This window comes from Homo sapiens, chromosome 10 (assembly GCF_000001405.40).
Source record: "Homo sapiens chromosome 10, GRCh38.p14 Primary Assembly".
In the NCBI taxonomy this organism is placed as follows: Eukaryota; Metazoa; Chordata; class Mammalia; order Primates; family Hominidae; genus Homo; species Homo sapiens.
The window spans coordinates 23,006,084-23,030,247 of record NC_000010.11 but is presented as its reverse complement, the minus strand read 5'-3'; the positions used below and the strand labels follow the sequence as shown (position 1 = coordinate 23,030,247).

The following is a 24,164-nucleotide window of genomic DNA, read 5'->3' as shown; positions in this document are numbered from 1 at the left end:
GAAACCAATTCCTCATGGATACTGAGGAATGACTGTATTTTATACATATGTAAAGTTTTCAAATTTTCATTTTCAATGACAATTGGAGAATTTTATAGAGTCTATATTAGGCAGGACAAACTAATTTTCAAGAGAACATTGTGTGATTGATATATATTATGAAAATCATATATTGGTCTTCTGCACAATTGCCTAGCAAGGTGTCTGGCACATAGTAGTAGGTATGTAATACATATTTATTGAATTGGAAACAATTAGGTTGCCTTCTCAGAGAGCCTAAGCCAGCTACATCATCTGTTACTTCAGTTAAGACCTTCTGCAGAAATAATTTGGATTGCTATTTTTAAGAAAAATTATTCAAAACAAGGAAATAAAGCAAAAAAAACCTACAAAATGAGAATGGCATGTAATCTCCATGACGTACAAGAACAAAGACTCATCCAAGGTTTATCTAGAGAAATGTACTTAGTTTAGTACTTAATAAAGATGAAATTTTAATTAAAAGTTCTGGTCTTAGAGAATTACTAGTTAGCATGTATATTTTAACATGTAGAGATGCAAATAATTCCTGTCCAATGGAAAAGATACTCTCAAAGGTTACAGTTTATTGTCCTATAGGATGTTAATCAATTTGGCATGTAATTCAGCAATCTTTTTTGAATATTCCTTAGTTAAATTGGATAGAAATACCTTCCACCTCAATGGTTCTTTGAACCAGTATGAACATCTTACTGGTTCCCTCCCTAATTAATGAGTCAAACAAAAACAATAGCATGGGTTCTTATTCCAGGTAATGTGGAGTAAGCATACTTCACCCTGTCTGTCCCATTGAATACAGTCACAAAAGCTGGACAGGATGCATGCAACAGCTGTTTGAGGACTCTGAAAAGTAAATAGCAGCAGGAAGAGCAGAGAAGAACAAAATTTGAATTAATACTCTACTGATGATGAGTTTATCCTTCTATTGAATTCCATAATTCCCCATGCTGAAATAAACTTAGCCCAGTAACTGGAAGTGAACATCAGCACAGAGAAAGCTCAAGAAGATGCCCTCTTGAGAGAAAGAAAAAGAATAAAGGAAAGCCCCAGTTTTAATTTTTGTTCTTTCTAATTTTTCTTCATTCTTGTGCATTCTAAGCCCATAAGGAATCCTGTGACAGTGGTGGCACTGGTGGCACTAGGATCCTATAAGAGCCTAAAATTGCTTTATACTACCTCAGACCTTCTGCTATTTGGCTGTAGATATGGGTGCAGTCATGTCAAGAGTGCAGTAGATCAAGGTAAATAAAGTTTTCTGGCTGGAGGACCTAAAGGGAAGTCCCCAAAGAATCAGAAAAAGCAAGGAAGATTATGGAAAAGAAGGAGCTCAGAAAAGCAACCCCATAAGTTATTTATTTATAAATTCCTAGGCTTATCCTGAGTTGTGCATACATGGCTTGACCCTCAACAGCACATACATAGACTTTGAAAACTGAACTACTGGATAGACTGCTATCCAAGTCCCAAAGTGGATACTGGTTGGCATACATGCAGAACCAATCCAAATAGCACTGCAAAGACTTTGAAAATTCAACTGACATGGGAATGACAATCCACAGAAGCCTGGTTGGAATTGGAAGCCTGAACTCAACTTAGTCAATTGTCTGCTAAAACACACCCAAAAGGAATATTCTTAGAATGTAAATAAAACCCATAAATAAGACTCTTAGGACTTATAACTTATTATAATCTAAAATTACTCATTATGTGAAGAACCAAGAAAATCTCAACTCATATAGGATAAGACAATCAATAGACACCACTGCCTAGATGACCCAGATGTTGATTACACAAAGACTTTAAAAATGCTTCAAGAAGTAAGATCAAATACTCTTGAAATGAAGTATAAAAATCTTAGAAATAAATAGAAGACATAAAAATATAATTTTGGAACTGAGAAATACGTAATTAAAAGTTTAAAAGAACATAACTACCTAAATGGGTTTAATAGCATAATGAAGATAAAAGAGGAACTAGCCAATGTTGAAGATAGAACAATAAAAATCATCCAATCTGAACAACACCCAGAACAAAATTGTTGTTGTTGTTGTTCTTTGTTTGTTTTTGAGACAGGGTTTCACTTGTTGCCCAGGCTGGGGTGCACTGGCTGCCACCACTTCTCACTGTAGCCTCAAACTTCCAGTGCTCAAGTGATCCTCCCACCTCAGCCTCCTGAGTAGCTGGGAGCACAGGTGTGTGCCACCATGCTTAGCTAATTTTTTTATTTTTTTGTAAAGACAAGGTCTCACTATGTTGCCAAAGCTTGTCTCCAACTCCTGAGCTCAAGCGAAACTCCTGCCTTGGCCTCCCAAAATGCTGCGATTACAGGTTTGAGCCACCGTGCCTGGATAGAAAACAAAAGATTGAAAAAAACAGTTGACAGACACTCAGGGACCTGTGGTACAATTAAAAAGGTCTAAGATTGATGTCATCAAAGTCCCAGACAGAGAAGAGAAAGGGTACAGTATAGAAAAAAACACATTGAATAAAGAAGGAAAGGCTGAGATGGCTCCCTCAATTTGGTTGAAAACATAAATCTACACAGTCAGGAATTTCAGTGAATGCCAATAAGGTAAACCCAAAGAAATCTACTCTCAGATACATCAAAATCAAACTCTTGAAAACTAAACACAAAGCAGATGACATGACTGTCTATGTAGAAACTCCCAAGGAATTCTCCAAAAAAACTACTATAAATGAGTTCATCGAAGGGTCAGGATATAAGATCAACACACAAAAACCAATTGTGTTTCATATAGTAAGTAACAAGGAACATGTGCAAATCAAAATTAAAACCAAAAAACTGTTTGAAGCATTTACAATTGCTCCAAATAAAATACTTACAGATAAACTTTGCAAAACATGTTGAATTCCTACATGATCTATGTGCTGAATATTAAAAATGCTAAGGAAAGCAATCAAAGAAGACTTAGATAAATGATGAGACGTATTGTGTTCATGGATTTGAAGATGTAACTATTAAAGATGTCAGTTCTCCCCCAAAATGATCTCTGGTTTTAATGCAATTCCTATCAATATCCCAGCGGTTTTTTCTAGACATATAATAGAAAATCTTATTCTAGAATTTATATGAAAAGGCACGGATTTTAGGATAGCTACATCAATCTTGACAAAGAAAAATAAAGTGGGAAGAATCACTGTATTTGATAGTAAGGCTTACTATATAGCTACAGTAATTCTGACAGAGTGATACTAGTAGAGGGATAGACATATGGATGGATGTAACAGAACTGAGGACCAAGAAATAGAAACCAAAAAAATATGCTCCACTGATTTTTGACAAAGGTGCAAAAGCAATTCAATGGAAGAAGGATGGTCTTTTTAACAAATGGTACTGGGGCAATTCGACTTGAGGGTCCACGTGGTGATGAAACTATTCATTATCTTAACTGTGCTAGTAGAGGCATAAACCTACACGTGATAAAATTGTATAAAACTAAATACACATGTAGAAGAAAAATAAACTTGAATAAAATGATTGGATTGTATCAATGTCAATATCCTAGTTATGATATTGTTTGCAGTCTTTTACCATTAAGTATGATGTGATCTGTAGATTATTTTGTAGATGGCTTTTATCAAGTTGAGGCAATTACCTTTTATGCCTTTTTTCAACAGTTTTATTTTTATTTTTATCCTATCAACATCATAAGTAGATGTTGAATTTTGCCAAATGCTTTTTCTGTGTCAGTTAATATAAGTTGGTTTTTCTTCTTTATACTGCTAATATGATGGATTACATTGATTGACAAGCATGACACAGGCTTGCATTCCTAGGATAAAGCCCTCAAGTTGCTCAGATAAATTATTCTTTGTATATACTGCTGAATTTGATTTGCTGGTATTTCATACAGGATTTAGGGATCTATGTTCATGAGGAATACTGATCTGTAATTTTCTTGTAATGTCCTTGTCTGGTATTGGCACTAGAGTAACCTAATGCAAATAGATTGGCATTAGATCATCGTGAGTTGAGAAGTATCCTCTATTTTCCTATTTTCTGAAAAAAATTGTGTACAATTGATGTTAATTCTTTAAGTGTTTGGTGAAATTTGCCAATGAAACTATCTGGATCAAGAGATTTCTTTTTGGAAAAAAATTTTAATGAATTAAATTTATTTAATAGTTACAGGGCTGTTGTCTATTTCATCTTTGGTGAGATCGGGTAGTTTGTAGTTTTTGATAAATAATTGGTCCATTCATTGCATCTAAGTTGCTGAACTAAGTTGCTTGTAGCATTTCTCTATTATCCTTTATTGTGTGTTGAGGGGTTATAGTAATAATTCCTTCTTTCATTCCTGGTCTTGGCAATTTGTGTCCTCTGTCTTTGATTAATTGTCATCTTTGCAGAGGTTTACCCAAGTTATTGAACTTTTTAAAGAAACAGATTTTTATTTCATTGATTTTCTCTATTGTTTCTGTTTTAAATTTCATTGATTTCTTACCTTTATTATTTCCTTCTTTCTGTTTGTGTTGGGAGTGTTTTGCTCTCCTTTTTCTAGTTTCTTGAGGTAGAAGCTCAGATTGTTGATTTGAGACCTCTTTTTGTTTCTAATGTAAGCATTTAGTACAATAGATTTTCCTCTCAACACTCCCTGAAGTGTGCCCCACAAATTTTGATATGCTTTATTTTAAATTTCTTTCAGTCCTACGTTCTTAATTTTTTTTGAGATGTCCTTTTATGTCCCATGGATTATTGAGAAGTGCATCATTCAATTTTCACTTGTTTAGAGATTTTCTTGTTGTATTTCTGTTATTAATTTATAATCTGATTTATCATGATTATTGTACATATTATGTATAATTTCAAGTATTTTAAATTTCCTGAGGTTTTTTTTATGGCTCAGGGTATTCGTGAATTTTCACATGCACTTTTAATGAAACGTGTATTCTGCTGTTATTGTTGGAGTGTTCTACATATGTCAATGAGATCTTGTTGGTTGCTGCTGTTGCTGAAATCTTCTGTATCCCTGCAAATTTTCCACCTAGAAGTTCTACCAGTTGCTGGGGGTTGGGGGCAGTGTTGAAGTCCCAATTATAATTGTGAAGTTGTCAAATTCTCCTTTCAGTGCTATCAGGTTTTTTTTGCTTCATTTATTTTGAGGCTTTGTTGTTTGGTTCACACACATTAGATCATTATGTCTTCCTCATAAGTTAATTCATTTGATCACTAATGTAATGTCCCTCTTTATTTCTAGTAATTTTCTTTGCTCTGTAGTCTAATTTATAAGATATTTTAAAACCCACTCCTGCTCCATAAAAAGTTAATGTTTACATGGTATTTTTGTCCATCCTTTTACTTTCAGCCTACCTATGTCAAATGAATTTGAAGTTAGTTTATTTAAACAGCATACAGTCGGATCATAACTTCTTATCCACTCTGCCAATCTGTCTTTCAATTGGTTTTTATTCCTCTGCTCTTCTTTTCTTGCCTTCTTGTGTGTTACTTGAACATTGTTTTTAGGATTCCATCTTGACTTATTTATGGCTTTTTGAGCATAGCTTTTTGTATAGGTTTTTTAGTGGTTACAGTAGATATTACAATGTACAAATATGGCTTATCACAGTGTACTGGTATCCACATTTTACTGCTTCAAGTAAAGTATGGAAGCCTCACCTCCTTTCAGGTGTCTTTACTTCCTTTACTTTAAAATATCATTGTCTTGAGTATAAGATGTTATACATTTTGTTTCAATCATCAAATGTGACTTAAAATACTCATGAGGAAATGGATAGTCTACTGCATGGAGGTATCTATCTATCTGTCTATCTATCTATCTATCTATCTATCTATGTGGCATTCCTCTTTCTTCCTAATCCTTCCAGATTCTTTCACCATTTTCTTTCTGTTTGAAGAACATTCTTTAGCCAATCTGTTAGGATAGGCCTGCTAACTGTAAGTTGTTTAGTTTTCCTTTACCTGAGAAGGGCTTTATTTGTCTTCTTCATTGCTGAAGAATGGTTTCACCAGATACTTGTGGTTGACAGTTCTTTTCTTTCAGCACTTGAAAAACATGCCACTTCCACCTGGCTTCTATAGTTTCAAATAAGAAAGACACTGTCACTTGAGTCGATGTTTTCCTACAAGAAATGCATAGTTTTTCTTTGGCTGCTCGATTTCAGAAGTTTAATTATAATTAACTTAGTGTTGTTTTCTTTGGGTTTATCCTATTTGGAATCTTCTCCTCTTCTTTAATCAAAAGGTTTATATCTTTCAGCAAATGTGGGGAGTTTTCAATCATTACCTGTTTGAATACTCTTTCAGCCCTACCCTCTCTCCTCTCCTTCTGGAACTGCAATGATATGAATGTTGGATCTTTTATTATTGTCCCGTAAGTCCTTGAGGCTTTGTTCATTTTTTTTTCCAGTTAATTTTTCTCTTGGTTATATAGATTGAGTGAATTCTACTGCTCTGTCCTCAAGTTCACTGATTCTATCATCTATCATCTCCATTTTATTATTGTATCCTTCCAGTGAGACTTTTTATTTCTGTTATTATACTTTTCAGTTCTATAATTTCTATTTGGTTCCTTTTTTATAACTGCTATTTTTGTTGTTGAAATTTTCTATTTTTTCAGTTATTTCAAGAAAATTTGTAATGGATTGTTGAAGCACATTCATGATGACTGCTTTAAAATCCAGGTCAGATAATTCCAACAACTGATTTATCTTCATGTGGGCATTAATTGATTGTCATTTCTCATTGGTATTGTGATTTTCTTGGTTCCTGATATGACAGGTCTTTTGTGGGTCATAATCTGGCTATGTTGTCTATTATATTGGGAAACTCTGGCTCTCTTTATGTATTTTAGCAAGCAGTCTCCCTGGAGTTCTGCAGAGAGGTCCTGGACTACTTTTGTAGGCAGTGATTCCAATGACACGTTAATTTTCAGAGACTTTCAGTGAGTGTACGTGTTTTTCTGCTTGGTTTAACTAGGCTGCTGGGACTCCCACTGGTCCCTCCTGGTGTTATCTGAAGGAATACGAGGGGTTTCCCCGTTCTGGGACTCTCTGTGAAGGATAGGTATTTCAGGGCTGCAAGGACCCAGAGGCTTCCCTAGGCAGGGGCTTGTTGTGGCTGGTTTCCCCCAGCCTGTGTAAGATGGATAGGACCCTTGTGGCAAGATGTCTCCCTACTATCATCCCCCAGTCCATGTCTCTTGGTGAGAGAAGGTAGCCTCAATGCCATGGGGACAAAGGAGTGCCCTGTACCAGGGTACTTATTGTGCTTAGGTCCCTCTTGCAGGTTCCACCCACCTGCCCAGTGTTTCTCAGTGGGAGAGGGAGACTCAGGCTTATTGGGACAAAGCAGATTCCCAGGCTGGCCACATCCTGGTCTGAGCAGGTCCCTTCTGGCCACTCCAGTATCTCTGGGTGGGAGAAGCAAGTCTCAGCCCCTCAGGTATACTTGCTGTGTCTAGGTCCCTCTTGCTACTCCTGCCCAGCTGCCTTGATATCTCTTGGCAGGTCTAGGGGTAGAAGGGGGAAAAGGGAAGTTGTCTCTGGCTGTCAGAAGAGGCATTTGCTTACCCTAGATTCCTAGTGTTAGTGGGGCTCCAGTCAACCCCCTTGTCATTGGCACTGAGTTTGCCTAGTGTTGTCAAATGACTACTGGTTGCTTTCTGTTGCTAGGCTGGGGGGCCTTCTGTTAGATGAGGGAACATAAGATGCCCTGCTGCTGTGTTTTCCCCCAAGTCATAGGGTCCCCAGCCAGTTCACCTTCTTCTTGCCTCCTTTGGAGTTCTCCTTTGTTTGCCTCTTGCATTATTTCCAGGGTTAATAGTTCTATTTAGCAGGGAGGAGCAAAGAAAAACTAGTCTGTGCCAACTTGATCTGCAGGAAGTCATCAAGTGATTTTTGACAAAGGTACAAAGATAATTCAAGAGAGAAAAATGTTGCTTTTCATCAAATGTTCCTGGAAAAATTAGGCATTCATATGCAAAGTAAATTTCCACATAAGCCTCACATTGTATGTAAAAATTAACTCAAAATTAATGCTAGCCCTAAATAGAAAACCTAAAAGCATTCAATATTTTGAAGAAAACAAAGGAGGAAATCTTCTTGATCTAGGGTTAGCCTATTATGTATGTAAACACTCTATAGATATAAATGTAAATATACATATTTTTTCAAGGCATTCACCAAGAAGCAGGGAGTTTTTAGACATGACACCAAAAGCACAATCTATAAAAGAAAATTTTGACAAATTTGACTTCATCAAAATTAAAAACTTTTGCTCTGAGAAAGATACTGCTAAGGGAATAAAAAGACAAGGTACAGAGTGGAAGAAAATATTTGCAAGCCACATGGTCAACAGAAGACTCATATATAAGACAAAGAATGCTCATGACTGAACAGTAAAAAAACAAACAGCTTCTGCACAGCAAAAGAAACTATCAACAGAGTAAACAGGCAACCTACAGAATGGGGAAAAGTATTCACAAACTATGTATCCAACAAAGGTCTACAAATATCCAGAATATATACAGAACTTAAACAATTCAACAAGCAAAAAATGAATGACCCCATTAAAAATGGGCAAAGGACATGAACAGACACTTCTTAAAAGAAGACATACATGCAGCCAACAAATATATGAAAAAATCTGCAACATCACTAATCATTTCAGAAATACAAATCAAAACCATAATGAGAATACCGTCTCACACCAGTTAGAATGGCTATTACTAAAAAACTAAAAAATAAAAATTAACAGATGTTGGCAAGGTTGTGGAGAAAAGGGAACGTTCATTCACTGTTGGTGGGATTGTAAATTAGTTCAGCCACTGTGGAAACAAGTTTGGAGATTTCAAAGAACTTAAAACAGAACTACCATTTGACCCAGCCATCCCATTACTGGGTGTACACCCAAAGGAAAATAAATCATTGTACCAAAAAGACACATGTACTCCTATGTTCATTGCAGCACTATTCACGATAGCAAATACACGGCATCTACCTAGATGTCCATCAACAGTGGACTTGATTTTTAAAAATGTCGTATGTATACACCATAGAATACGATACAGCCATAAAAAAGAATAAAATCATGTCCTTTCCAGCAGCGTGGATGCAGCTGGAGGTCATTATCCTAAGTGAATTAATGCAGGAACAGAAAACCAAATACCACATGTTCTCAGTTATAAGTGGAAGCTAAACATTGCATACACATGGACATAAAGATGAGAATAACAGACACTAGGGCACTGGGGGCTACCAGGTGGGGGAGGTTGAGAGGTGGGGAAGGGTTGAAAACCTACCTGTTGGTATTGGGCTCACTACCTGGGTGACAGGATCATTCATATACTAAATCTCAGCAACACACAATTTACCCACGTAGCAAACCTGCACCTGTACCCTCTGAACCTAAAATTAAAGTTGAGAAAAAGCAAAAACAAAAGCCCAATTTAAAAAATGGACAAAATACTTGAACAGATACTTCACCAAAGAGGATATAAAGATGGCAAATAAGCACATGAAAAAATGCTAACAGCATTAGCTGTTAGGGAAATGCAAATTAAGATCATGATGAGATACCACTATTTACATATTAGAATGGATAAATAAATACTAACAATCCCAAGTGCCAGCAAGGATGTGGAGCACCTGGAGCTCTCATACATTGCCAGTGAGAAAGCAAAATGCTATTGCTATTCTGGAAAAGTTTGCTAGTATCTTATAAAGTTAAACATACAGTTACCATATGACCCAGAAATCCCACTCCCAGGTATTTACCCTAGAGAAATTAAAACTGGCTGTGTATGGTGGTTCACACCTGTAATCCCAGCACTTTGGGAGTCCAAGGCGAGTGGATCACTTGAGGTCAGGAGTTCGAGACCAGCCTGGCCATCATTTAGTAGAAACCATCATCCATCTCTACTAAAAATACAAAATTAGCTGGGTGTGGTGGCACATGCCTGTAATCCCAGCTACTCGGGAGGCTAAAGCAGGAGAATTGCCTGAACTGGGAGGCGGAGGTTGCAGTGAGCCAAGATCATGCTACTGCACTCCAGCCTGGGCAACAGAGCGAGACTCTGCCTCAAAAAAACAAAACAAAACAAAACAAAACAAAAACTTACATTCACACACACACATGAATGTTTATAACAGCTCTATTCATAATCAACAAAAACTGGAAACAACTCAAATGTCCTTTAACAGGTGAGTGGACATATACTGTGGTATATCCACACAGTGAAATAATACTCCAAAATAAACTGCTGATACACAAAACAATTCAGAAGAATCTCAAAGGCATTACACTGAGTGGAAAGGCCAGTCTCAAACGTTACACACTGTATGATCCTATTCATGTGGCATTCTCAAAAAGACTAACAGGCGTGGCTGCATGGTGATGGCTTGCGCATGTCATCCCAGCACTTTGGGAGGCAGAGGCAGGCGAATTGCTTGAGCTCAGGAGCTCCAGACCAGCCTGGGCAACATGGCGAAACCTTACAAAAATTAGCTGGGTGTGGTGGTGCATTCCTGTAGTCCCAGCTACTCGGGAGGCTGAGGTGGGAGGATCACTTGAGTCCAGGAGGTTGAAGTTGCAGTGAGTGGAGGTTGCAGTGAACCAAGATCACACCACTGCACTCCAGCCTAGACTATAAAGTGAGACCCTGTCTCTAAAAAAAACAAAACAAAGCAAAACAGAAAAACAACAGTAACAGAGAACAAATAGAAAATACCAGGGGTTAGGATTATCTGGGGTGATGGAACTGTTTTGTATCCTGATTGTGATGATGGTTATACAAATCTCCACTTTTGTTAAAATTCATAGAATTGTATACAGAAATCAATTTTAAAATAAATCTTGCTGTGTATTCACTTTATATTTACATGAGAGTTATGATTTTACTTCTACACAAATTGTATTCTAACACCATAGATGGAATGTCTGTCTTTACTCACTTTCTGCATCTCACCCTAGGGGATGCTGGTGTGACTTGATGACCTGCACCCCACTTTTTACTCTGCACCAAACACCCCTAAACAGCTTGACACAAACTTGAACATTTTCAGTAGCAAAGGAGACAATCATCGTTTCGTTAAAATACTTCTGAGCTGGTAAATAATGGCTTATCTGTCATTTGTGCCTTGGCAAGGCTTACTTTCTCTACTTTCCACTGCTAGCTGAGAGCCCACATTGGGAGAACCAGCAGTGAGGCTGGACAGCCCTCTGGGAGGCAGTGGGGAGGATGTCCACAGCCACTCACTAGAGCAGCTTTGCAAGGAACTCACGGAAATCTAAAAGGGGAGATGCAGGGGTCAGGGGAGTCACAGCCTCCTCACTTCACAGCTGTGCCAGGATGCAGCCTATCCTCTTCCAGTTTTTGGCTTTAGCTGTTTTTCCTTAAAAATTACCAAGGTGCGGCCAGGCATGGTGGCTCACGCCTGTAATCCTAGCACTTTGGGAGGCCAAGGCGGGTGGATCACGAGGTCAGAAGATCGAGACCATCCTGGCTAATGTGGTGAAACCCTGTCTCTACTAAAAATACAAAAAATTAGCCAGGTGTGGTGGCAGGCACCTGTAGTCCCAGCTACTCGGGAGGCTAAGGCAGGAGAATGGCTTGAACCTGGGAGGCAGAGCTTGCAGTGAGCAGAGATTGAGCCACAGGACTCCAGCCTGGGTGACAGTGCGAGACTCCGTCTCAAAAAAAAAAAAAAAAAAAATTACTAAGGTGCAAGTCTAATAAATGATACCATTATAGATGCCTTTTTGGTTTTGAAGCACACAGGCTCTCAGCTGAGCCACAGTCACGCAGAGACAGATCAAGAGGCACCATCTATGGCCAAACATGACTTTGGGCAGAAGGTCTAAAAATGAACGAAATGAGAACCTAAGTTTCCAGGACTCCAGACAGTTTGGTTACTCCAGTGTGGGCTGGGAGGCTGTTCTACAACCCCAGCTGTGACCACAGACCTGCTTCCCTGCCCAAGGACTTTAGCTCTTTTGCATGATGAGAGAAGTCTCCAGAACAGGCCTGGGTGGGACTTTGAGTAGGTGGAGTTCCAAGGAGCACAATGCTGTTTCTAATACCTGACTTGCAGTCAACACTGCTGCTAGTTCCTTTCCATTTTACCAGTAGAATTTTGTCAATTAACCAGTGATATGCAAATAAATGCTTCTGTTTATTATTAAAAAGAATTGTTGCCTTATCTAAATATCTACCACACTGCTCTCCGTGACATTAGCCTGCTTTCTGAGGGCAGATTTTCTTACACACCTTGTTCATTATAATAGGATCTGACAATATTAAGATTAAACAGTAGCTTTGATTGCAGCTTTTATTTTGTTACCTTCTTGAGAACAAGGAACTTAAAACAACAAATGTGTCAGAGGGTCAAGAAATCAAGAAAATGGGGCTAGGCCAGACCAGGCAGGTGAATTACCTGTTTTGTTTTGTTTTGTTTTGTTTTTTGAGACGAAGTCTCGCTCTGTTGCCCAGGCTGGAATGCAGTAGTGCGATCTTGGCTCACTGCAACCTCTGTCTCCCAGCCTCAAGCTGATTCTCCTGCTTCAGCCTCCCAGGTAGCTGGGATTACCAGCATTCCCCACCATACCCAGCTAATTTTTGTATTTTTAGTAGAGACAGGGTTTTAGCATGTTGGTCAGACTGGTCTCAAACTCCTGACCTCAAGTGATCCGCCCATCTCGGCCTCCCAAAGTGTTGGGATTACAGGTGTGAGCCACCATGCCCGGTCAATCACTTGTTATATACTCATGCATATTGAGCATCTGTTACACTAGCAGTAAATTAGGGGGTTTGGGAATTATTTAACTTTAAGTATTACTTGAAGCACAAGGTGGGAGGGAAGAATTGACTGAGGTCCAGATGAATTTTCTTTTTATTTTGAAGAAAAGAATAGAAAAATAATCCTGTCAACTGCTATTTGAGAATTACAAAGCTCTATATTCGTTTTAACAAGTACAAAAAGTTTTATACTTTCTAATTAAATATTATATTTGCTGCAGCTAAGTAAAAGAGAGAGGTTAATCATGTATCATTGAATGCACCCACCATGCATTCTAATAAAATCTCTAAGCAAAAGTTAGTATTTCCCAGAGAGATCATCTTAACCCCTTTCTCTTATTTGTAAAAAAAAAAATAATAAATTGGACATTGTCACATACATAGTTAAGATTTTAGTAAATTAGAAACCAATACTAGGAAGGTCAATTAGAAGTGCAGGAAGCACAGATAGGTTCACCTGTTTTCTAAAATTGCAAGGTGGTGGTGTAAGATTGGAGAGCTCAGTTCCAACAGTCAGTCCAATACTTCGTCACTGAATAGAGTGACTATTCAGAGTTACCTACAAAACAGAGGCAGGAGTGTGTCTCACAGAGCGTGCTGCCTGATGTAAGAACAAGGAGTCATTTGGCATGAAGGAGAAAATATCTGATACACCTCCAGGAAATGCAATCTTATGAATGATTAAAAAGAGAGAATTTCCGGGAACTCCTGAACTGTAGTTTCTTATTGCTATAAATAGAAGCATTTCTTTTGGACTTCTTTCCCATGAAGTCTGCCAGGTTATATTAATAAGGGCTTCAGTACTTAAATAAATTTCATTTCATGCATATGGAAATAAACACTTGGAAATTATAAAATTAACTCCGGTAAAATTAATTCTCAGAGCATCAGTTTTTGGTTAAAGACAGCAGAACTTTTACCTCTCCTGCAGAAACTTTAGCAAAACTACCTCAGGAAACAGGGATTTACTGTGGGATCCAAAGCTCTAAGGTTATTTTTCTACATTCATAGGTGGATGAAAAGGAGAGCAGGTAAACATATAGAATATTTGGCTGGCTCTAAATCGCTTATTGACATTTTCAAAGTTTAATCCCTTGCTCCTTTTTGATACCATCAACTATTGAAATACATAATTTTAGGACAAGGCTGGTGGGAGAAATACAGGTCATGAACCCAGCCCTCTTGGGGTTTCAATTTAAGCAAGAAGATTTTGTTATGTGGAAAATAATCACAATACCAGGCAGCATTCAATAAATTCCACATGAGTGATAAAGATGTGAAAGTCTCCAGGAGTTCAATGTTGAAAGAAATGTATTCAAATTGGGTGTCCTATTCCACCCAATTTATTCCAAAAGGATGGGAACAAGGCGTTGTTCAAAGTAGAGATAGGATTTGTTCTGGGTAGTGTCTGATTGTGTGAGTGTGTGTGAGTGTGTGTATTTCTTTGTTGTCTGTCTTCTCACTAGGATGTAAGTTCTATGAAGGCAAAGGTTTTTGTTTACTGCTGTATCTCCAGCACTGGAACAATTCCAGGCACATAGAAGGCGCTCAATAAGTATTTGTTGAATGAATGAATTGTAGAAAAGAAGGTAAGAAGGTGTTTACATGTGACTAAGAGACAATATCTGTTTCTGAAAGACTTTAGTAGTCAAGATTTGGGGGAGGAAGCAACAACAGTTTAAGTTATGGGTAAAAAGAGGGTAGTGGGAAATTATTTTAAAAACAAAAATGTTTTAGGAAATCATTATCCTGTAGATCAAGATTGTGTGAGTGACAGAAGTATTAAATAAAGCATTTGCTGTAAATATCTAAAAGGCTCTAGACATGATCAGCATGGAAAGAGGATATGAAAAAGGAGACAGAAAAACAACTAACTTTTAAATGTGTGTAATAAACTCATGTTCAGTCAAGTGAACGTTCATGAAAACTGGTCTGAATACAAAAGAACAGTGTAGACAGAACTTATCACACATTTCACAAACAGATCTAGTGAATGCTATTTTTAAATGTTTACATTCAAATGTTCTCTATAAGGAAAAGCTTTAGAAGAAATGTTAGATATGTTGGTTTCGGTGAAGACTAAGGAAGGAGGAGAGTGGATAACCAGGGAACGAATTAATCACGTCTCCTATGAGTGTTTTGCCATTAAGGGGAGTACAACTAAAGCCTTCGAAACCAAAAGTAATATGGTGCCTGGTCACCCAGGAGACAGAGTTTCAAATTTACATGCTGCATGGTAATGAGATTCATCAGGAAAAAGAAATCCGTACTTCCCCTTTCTCTTCTCCATATTAGAACACTTCACATGTAATTGATCTTACTTCTTTCCCATCTCTTCTCTCCTCTCCCTTTCAAAAATGTAGCACTCCATGGTTCTCGATGTCTCATTATTCTGTCAGTATCTCTCACTTTTTTAATTTATTTTTTTCCTTTATGATCTTCTTTTAAATTTTTTTTTAACTTTTATTTTAAGTTCAGGGGTATATGTGCAGGTTTGTTACATAGGCAATTTGTGTCATGGGGTTTTTTTTTTTTTTTTTTTTGTACAGATTATCTCATCACTCAGGTATTGAGCCTAGTACCCATTCATTATTTTTCCTAATCCTCTCCCTCCTCCACCCTCCACCCTCCAGTAGGCCCCAGTGTGTGTTGTTGTTCCCCTCTATGGGTCCATGTGCTCTCATCATTTAGCTCCCACTTATAAGTGAGAACATACAGTATTTGGTTTTCTGTTCCTACATCAGTTTGCTAAGGATAATGACTTCCAGCTCCATCCATGTCTCTGCAAAGAACATGATCTCACTCTTTTTTGTGGCTGCATAATATTCCGTGGTGTATATGTACCACATTTTCTTTATCCAGTCGATCATTGATGGGCATTTAGGTTGATCCCATGTCTTTGCTATTGTCTCACTCTTTTTAACATAAAATATTCCCAATGGCTTTTCAGACGAATGCAGTTAAAATATTTTATTCTATTTCCAGGAGTCCAAAGTTTTAATAGTCATAAGACAAGAAGGGTTGACCAAAAGACAGGCAACAGGACAACAGGGCTATGGCTAATCTACCCCTCAATGGACCAAAGGCTAAGAAGGGAAGAGAGAAGGGACGCACATTGAGCCCCTAAGTGTGCTAGGTGATGGTCAGGCACTTTCCTGACACCATCTCTCCTCTTACAGCAGCTCTTTGAGGCAGGGATCATCATTTTCATTTACAATTCAGAAGACCAAGGCCCAGTTGTGTCTGAATCCAAAGTCTCTGTGTTCTCCTCATGCCAACAATCCTCTTAAATCCTAGGAGTGCTTCAGGGTTTATCTTGAAGTGGGGAGTGAGCTGCCAGAATGTGCAGAGGAAGAGGGAGAGTGAAGACAGTACAAAGAAGGAATAATTATTCTCATTTGTTTATATTTGTTCTCCCTGGACATACTGTAAAGGAGTCAAACATCTGTTCCTTTCAACAAACAGCATTCAATAATTAAAGTAATTTTTAATATTATTAATCAATAAATAATTTTTTACTGCCCCTGATGAGCCTGATACTATTCTAGGCTCTACGGATATAAAGATAAAAAAAAAAGCGTGGTCCCAGATCTCAAACAGCTCATTGTTCAGTAAGAAAGACAAATAAATCAACACAAATCAGTGCAGGCTATGGAAGAGATAGAATCCATTCACAAAGGAGTTTCAGTTTCATGGGATGACTAAGGGCTGTGTTCTGGAGATCTAATGTACAGCATGGAGACATTATATTATATTTAATAACACTGTATTGTACACATGACATTTGCTAAGAGAGTAGATCTTCAATGTTCTCACCATGAAACTACAAAAAATGAAAGAGAACTCTGAGGTGACAGAAGTGTTAATTAACTTAATCGTGGTAAACATTTCACAGTGTACACAGATATCAAAACATCATGTTTAAATGTACATAATAATTCATTTGTCAATTAAGCCTCGATAAAGTGAGAAAAAACTATAGCTAAATAATTAAAAACCCAAATTCACAAAAAAATGGGCACAAAATAAATGTTTATCCTGGTGTGATCAGAGAAGGCTTCACAAAAACAAAGCTGTAAAGAAAATAAAGAATGAATAGGAACTTGCCACAAAACAAGCAAGGCTATTCCAGGGTGGGCCATGCTTGGAGTATGGGCTTCAGCTATAAGATGAGAGGGAACTTTGTTTTAGGCAGAGTCATATGATCTGACTTTCATTTAAAAAGGTGTGTAGTGGCTGGCCATGGTGTTTCACGCCTGTAATCCCAGCATTTTGGGAGGCCGAGGCAGGCAGATCACGTGAGGCCAGGAGTTTGAGACCACTCTGGCCAGCATGGCAAAACCCCGTCTCTAATAAAAATAAAAATAAAAATAAAAATTAGCTGGGCATGATGGCACGCATCTGTAATCCCAGCTACTCGGGAGGCTGAGGCCCGAGAATTGCGTGAACCTGGGAGGCGGAAGTTGCAATGAGCCAGGATCACACCATTGCACTCCAGCCTGGTGATAGAGTGAGACTCTGTCTCAAAAAAAAAAAAAAAAAAGGTGGGGGCTAGCACCTCTGGGGGCACATGCATGGAGGACGGGTTTATGGAGGGCTATGCGAAAGTGGGAGGATTTACAGTACGATAAGGAGGTTGATGTGATTGAATAACATAAAGGCCTGAACTAGGGAAGTAAAAGTGAAAATGAAGGGAAGAAATAGATGTAGGAGAGTTAAGACATAGAGTGGATAGGACTGTCTTGGTCATTCCATATTGGGGATAAATGAGAAGGACTTCAAGATGGTTCCTAGGCATGGGTGATTGTATGGGAATATGATTAACATGAACAAGCACAGGGAAGAGAGGGGGAGGGAGCTTGGGAGCTGCGGTGAACAATGAGTTCAGGTTGGAACATATTGAACTTAAGGTGCCTTCAGAGTGATAGGGCAGAATACTCCACCAGGCAACTGGACACACAGGTCTGGACTCAAGAGAAGGGTCTCAGCTTTGGAGTGGGAGCTAAAACTATGGAGAGTAGGAACAGGAGTACTACTCCTGGAGAACATTGATATTTACGGTATTGCAAAGGATGAGAAGATAGCACCAAGGGCCAAAAAAGAAGGGATTTATCTATAGAACAAAGCGACATGGATCTAATGAGATCAAGATGTGAGTGTTTCACAGTTATGGAAAATATCAGTGTCAAATATCACAATAAAGCAAACTATAGCTGTGTGAAGATCAGCAGCTTGATATTCACAAGTACACAAAATGAGTTCCCACCCAGAAGGATTGCCCAAAAAATTTAGGATTAAGAACCAGATTGAGCTGTAAGAAAAATAAGACAATTGTAAAAATCCAAGAAGAGCAGAAGAACCAAAGATGAAAGCTGATGTGTTCATTCGTCTGGGTGAGGACCAGAGGGAAAGGTGCACTTTGATTGAGGGACTATATGTACAATAAGGTCCTGTGGCTGCTCATCAGTCAAGTGGCCTGTCCCTAGCAAGGGAGCAGAAGGCTGAGTCTTTCCCAGGGCCATAGCTGGGTGGACTAAAGGGGAACACTTGTCTCAGAGGCAGCTGACATTCTGGATGGCCTGTGAAAATAAGATTGCATCTCCTGAAAATGCACGAAGAGACAGAGAGAGATTGTATTTGATTGCTGCCAGGCTTTTGAACTGGAAGGCTGTTTTGGAATTGGGGCCAGATTTGGTCCCTTAGCAAACCAAGGTCACATGCAAGCTACAGTTAGAGGAGAGGCTGTAAAAAAAAAGCAAGCAAGGAAGCAAGTGCAAGTAAGTTACCATGCAGGTGGAGGGAGTAAGAGAGAGGGGAAGAGAGATGGGCAGGCCCTGCAGTTGTCACCTGTCCCATTGAGGACCCTCTGCATCCCTGCACTGAATTCCTTTATATCCTTGTATGGTTGGAGTGGGTTTTGGCTCCTCGAAACTTTTTAGTACAACAATAATAATAGCAACAGAAACTGACACTGGTTGAGTGTTTACCATGTGCCAGGCACCGCGCTAAGCATTTCACACGTAGTGACTTACTTGAGGCTTACAACAGCACTATGAAAATGGTTCTATTTTTATTTCAGTTTTACAGATGAGGAAACAGAGACAAAGAGAAGGTAACCCATTTGCTCCAGATGCATCATTTATAAGTGTGGAACTTGTCAGAAATAACCTTTTCCTGCCAAAGTTTGGATTTCTGTTCTTTTGAATAAATGTGAATGCCTATGAGTGCCAGCCAGGCACTGCGCTAAATACAGGAGATGAAAATAAACTATTCAAATTAGAACATTCCTTGTTCTTGAGGAGCTTTTAGTCCAGTGGGGAGAGGCTCAGAGAGGCCAAAGGGTAGGGCAGAGCAAAACAAAGAAAAGGACAAGGAATGGAAAGGAAAGGGAAGGAGAGAGGAGGGAAGGGAAGGAGAGAGGAGGGAAGGGAAGGAGAGAGGAGAAAAGGGAAGGAGAGAAGAGGGAAGGGAAGAACAGGGAAGGGAAGGGAAAGGAAGGAAGGGGGAGGGAAGGGAAGAAGAGGGGAAGGAAGGGAAGGAGTGGGAGGGAAAGGGAAGGAGAGGAGAGGCAAGGGAAGGAGAGGAGAGGCAAGGGAAGGAGAGGAGAGGCAAGGGAAGGAGCAGGGAGAGAGAGCAAAGGAGAGGAGAGGGAAGGGAAAGAGAGGGGAGAGAAGAGAAGGAGTGGGGAGGGGGAGGGAAAGGGAAGGAAAGGGGAGGGAAAGGAAGGAGGGGGAAGGGAAAGGAAGGAAGGGGGAGGGAAAGGAAGGAGAGGAGAGGAGAGGAAAGGGAAGGAGAGAGAAGATGGTAGGTCAGGGAATGGGAAGGAAGGGAGAGAGAAGGGAAGGGAAGGGAAAGAGAGGGGAGAGAAGGGAAGGGAAAAGAAGAGAACAGGGAAGGGAAGGGAGACAGGAGAGATGGGAAGGGAAGGAGAGGGGAGGGAAAGGAAGGAGGGAGGAGGGAAAGGAAGGAGGGAGGAGGGAAAGGAAGGAGAGGGGAGGGAAGGGAAGGGGTGGGAGGGAAAGGGGAGGAGAGGGAAGGGAAAGAGAGGGGAAGGAAGGGAAGGAAAGGGGAGGGAAAGGGAAGGAGAGATAAGAGGGTAGGTCAGGGAATGGGAAGGAAGGGGAGAGAGAAGGGAAGGGAAGGGGAAAGAGAGGGAAGGGAAGGGAAAGGAAGAGAAGAACAGGGATGGGAAGGGAGAGAGGAGGGAAGGGAAGGACAAAGAAGCGGAGGGAAGGGAAGGAGAGGGAAGCTGGAGAGAAGGGAAGAGAAGGGGAGGGAGGGAAGGGAAGGACAGGGAAGGGGAGGAGAGAGCAAGCAGAAGCTATGGGACTGGAACCACAGGGATGGATGAGTAGCAGTGATGAGAATATTGAGCAACAGAGACTCTAACAACAGAGAAGAAAGCCAGAGCAGAAAATAAAGCAGTCTGAGGATGAGGGCAAACCACTGCGTACGCCTTGGGAGACTTGGGGCCCAGCCTCCTTGGAAAGCAGGGGTCTGGTATCTGTTCCCCACAGCCTCCAATGCCACCGTGGCCCTTACAGGCTTAAGTCTACCATAACTCAATACAGTTTTTCAAAGAATCCAGGAAAGTTCTCATAGAAGAAGTATGTTTTAAAAATATGTAAACATGTGGGGCCGAGCAGGGTGGCTCATGCTTGTAATCCCAGCACTTTGGGAGGCCAAGGCAGGCAGATCACGAGGTCAGGAGTTTGAGACCAGCCTGGCCAACAGGGTGAAACCCCATCTCTAATAAAAATACAAAAATTAGCCGAGCATGGTGGTGCACACCTGTAATCCTAGCTACTTAGGAGGTTGAAGCAGGAGAATTGCTTGAACCAGGGAGGCAGAGGTTGCAGTGAGCCAAGATGGGAGATGGTGCCACTGCACTCCAGCCTGGGCGACAGAGCGAGACTCTGCCTCAGAAAACAAAACAAAACAAAACACAGACCTCAAAACGACATTATAATTGTCCCAACCAAGTAAGAGCGTTGCTCTATTTGCCTCTCCTCCTCCTCATTCCTTCTCCCATGGAGGGTCAGAGATGGTGAGGGAGGTGGGGAGGGCCGTGGAAGCAAAAGTGGGGCGGGAGGAGAGAGCGTGGGACCACACATCTGGGTGTGGGGTTCCCCACCTGCAAAAGTCAGCAGTGGGAGGCAGAAACCCTCACACCAAGTTGGTTACCCAGGGTTGGGCTTTCAAAGGACTGATTAGAGACTGCTGTCCCTGTTGCCAAGTTTTAATTAAAGCGACTGTAGGACCCTGTTGTTCCTACAAGTGATCCAAGTGACCAGAGTTTTTGGCCAGAGCCAGAAGACAATTCTCTCCGGGTAAGTTTTAAAGAGATGGTAAGAGACAAAAATCAAGTTTCTTTTAAATTTCATCTCATGAGTCTTGCCTGGTTCAACACCCTGATGTCAGAAGAAAGCTTCCTACTGAAGAGCCACCCCTCCCTTCCACCAGCCTGGCTGGGTAATGAGGAACTCAGGACACTTTCTTACCTCCATCCTTTTTCTTTGGTGGCGCTTTTGCTGAGAACAGTATTTCGTCCAGAAGCTGGCTCTGATTTGTCTTCTATGGGAGATCCAAATCCAGCACTAAAATGATAACTATTTTTTCTTGTCATTTGAAAAAAAACCACAACCAATTTCAATCATATGGAAAACAACAATACATTACATTTGCATTTAGAGCTTACAAGGCATTTTTACTTCATTATACAATTTTTACTTCATTATATAACTTGATTCCTTTCCCCATGATGAAGCCAGGGACCCGGTGTTATTTCGTCCACAGCTAAGGAAACGAAACCCACACAGACACTAAGTCATGTGGCCCAAATCACTGCAGGTCCACAGGGCGAAATAGAAGGTGAAACCAGATTTCCTGGCTCCTATTCCAGAGATCTTTCCCATAGCAATGTAAAAGGCAATTATGCAATTGTATTACCATAAGAAGAATAAAAATCAAGTTGCCCCAATCTAAAATCTAAAACATTTTTTCACACTCAAATTAAAGGGGAAGCTGTTTGCATACAGATAAAACATCATTTTCTTACTTGTTCTTTTCTTTACTTGATCTTCTTAAGGAAGATGAAGAAGAAATACTTCGTCCATAACCAACATCTGATTTATCTTCCATAGATGAAGGTGGAGAACTAAAATTTTACACATTTAAAATTATATATAGATTAAAATTATTTGTCAACAGATGGTTTTATTCCACGAAACAGATTTTTTTCTGAAAGTCATAACTGAAGCTGACTTTTAACAGTGACATACTGTTTTTAAAGTATAAAGGAGAAGTCATTTTTTCTTTGTTTGTTTTTTGAGACAGGATCTCACTCTATCGCCCAGGCTGGAGTGCAGTGGTGCGATGATGGCTCACTGCAGCCTTGACCTCCGGGGCTCAAGCGATCCTCCCACCTCAGTCCCCCAAGTAGCTGGGACTACAGGCATGTGCTACCATACCCAGCTAATTTTTGTATTTTTTGTATAGATGGGGTTTCACCGTGTTGCCCAAGCTGCTCTCAAACTCCTGAGCTCAAAGGATCCTCCTGCATCAACCTCACAAAGGGTTGGGATTATAGGCATGAGCCACTGCAAGAAGACTATTATAAAGCCTTTCATAAGCTAGAACAGAAATTATTTGTATAAAATGTATCACATAACTACTATATGGATATATAGATATACACGATCTCTCGCTCTCTCTCTTTTTTTTTTTTTTTTTTTGAGACGGAGTCTTGCTCTGTTGCCAGGCTAGAGTGCAGTGGCAGTGCAATCTCAGCTCACTGCAACATCCGCCTCCCGGGTTCAAGTGATTCTCCTGCCTCAGCCTCCTGAGTAGCTGGGATTACAGGCGTGCGCCACCACACCCAACTAATTTTTGTATTTTTTAGTAGAGACAGGGTTTCACCATGTTGGCCTCGATCTCTTGACCTCGTGATCTGCCCGCCTCGGCTCCCAAAGTGTTGGGATTACAGGTGTCAGCCACCGTGCCCGGCCATGGTCATTTTAAAGAAGACCATGGAAGCTTTAATTTTTAGCTCTATCATTTACTTCTTATTTCAAAGAAAAATGTTGGGTGGTAACTGTACTCCAGCACATAGTCCTGGAGAATTGTAAACATGATTCATCTCGGTTTGCTGCTATTTACACTTTCTTCAATGACTCCATGGTAAGAGGCCTTGACTTCAGAATACACTTGAAATTGACTGGCAGTATAGAGTCAAAGAAAGAGAGCAGAGAGTGCATTGATTTGCAGTGGTGGCTATTTCATGGTTATTCCATGTCGGGCTATGAGTTTATGAGCCAGTGTTTATTTTCATGGAGGTGCTAGATACAGGAGAAAAGGGTCTGGGAATCTTTGCATATTCACACGTTGGTGGAGAAACAACAACAACAAGCAGTATGTGCTTCCCTTCATCCCCTCTCCCTGCAGAGACTCACACGTAAGATTTACTGTTGATTAAGAGTACAGCCCGTAGGTCACTTGGTTCTTGTAAGCAGAGCTCCTTCAAAGGCAACAGTTTGGTGCCGGGATTTATCTGTGAGATAATTTAAGGACCAAAAAGTAGTATCTGCAGGGGTCATATTTTCGAAAATGAATACAGATAGAATATATTCTCAGCTGTTTGCGGTGTCTCATTTCACACACACAAACACACACATGTACAATATACATATATAAAATTAGAAATAGGAACCTGAAGCTTGTGGATGTTCTTGCCTTTGGGCAGGACAGATCCAGTTCCTTATCATCTCGATTGCTTTACACTCGGCTGTTTCATCCCATCATTATCATCTTGGCCCCTGGAAGTATTTGGATTGGCAAATCCATCTATATACCTAAGGGAGAGCTGACTGCCTGCAAAAGTAACTGAATACTGGAACAGATGACTAAAAGTGTTGTGAGTGTATCTAAAAGTAGGCTAGACAAAGCCCTGTGCAGGCAGTTTCACAAGCCTGGAGGAAGAGGGCTAGACTAGATCACTTTTGAGATCTTTTTCCAATTAAGTTATAGTTGAATCCCTTTCTCATCCAAGATACATTTCATGGTCCTTTGGGAAGAAGGCAAAAGAGAGCCTTTTAAAATAAGACCAATCCTGTCATTCTTCTGCCCAGGACACTGCCACGGTTCCTGTTCCATTCAGAGTAAAGGCCTTTAACCTGGCCTTCGTTAGCTCTCTGGTCTAGGGTCTGCTCTCCTCGCACTTTGCTAGCCCAGCTCTAGCTGCACCGGCCTTCCTGCTGTGCCTAGCACATGCCAAACATATATTCACCACACGGCTCTTGCACTGCTTGATTCTTCTGCCTAGAAAACAACCCCAGATTTGCCCAGGACTTC

At 40.1% G+C, this 24,164-nt stretch overlaps 1 protein-coding gene and 1 long non-coding RNA gene across 12 annotated transcripts in view; one reads left to right on the top strand and one right to left on the bottom strand.

Moving 5' to 3' along the window:
* ARMC3 (armadillo repeat containing 3) overlaps positions 1 to 24,164 on the bottom strand; it is a 110,471-nt gene that overhangs the window by 8,276 nt on the left and 78,031 nt on the right. For 5 of the 11 annotated variants that reach the window (NM_173081.5, XM_005252380.4, XM_005252381.3 and 2 more), the window contains 3 exons: positions 23,267 to 23,364; positions 21,874 to 21,972; positions 21,317 to 21,433 (listed from right to left, as the gene is read on the bottom strand). In NM_173081.5, coding sequence (NP_775104.2) covers positions 21,317 to 21,433; positions 21,874 to 21,972; positions 23,267 to 23,364 — 314 coding nt within the window. Of the gene's footprint in view, positions 1 to 13,308; positions 13,375 to 15,770; positions 16,149 to 21,316; positions 21,434 to 21,873; positions 21,973 to 23,266; positions 23,365 to 24,164 lie in introns of those variants that run through there. The other 6 variants (NM_001282746.2, XM_017015833.3, NM_001282745.2 and 3 more) reach the window with 4 other exon arrangements.
* The window catches only part of LOC107984215 (uncharacterized), a 99,856-nt gene that overhangs the window by 65,032 nt on the left and 10,660 nt on the right, over positions 1 to 24,164 (top strand). The gene's annotated exons all lie outside the window — the stretch shown is intronic.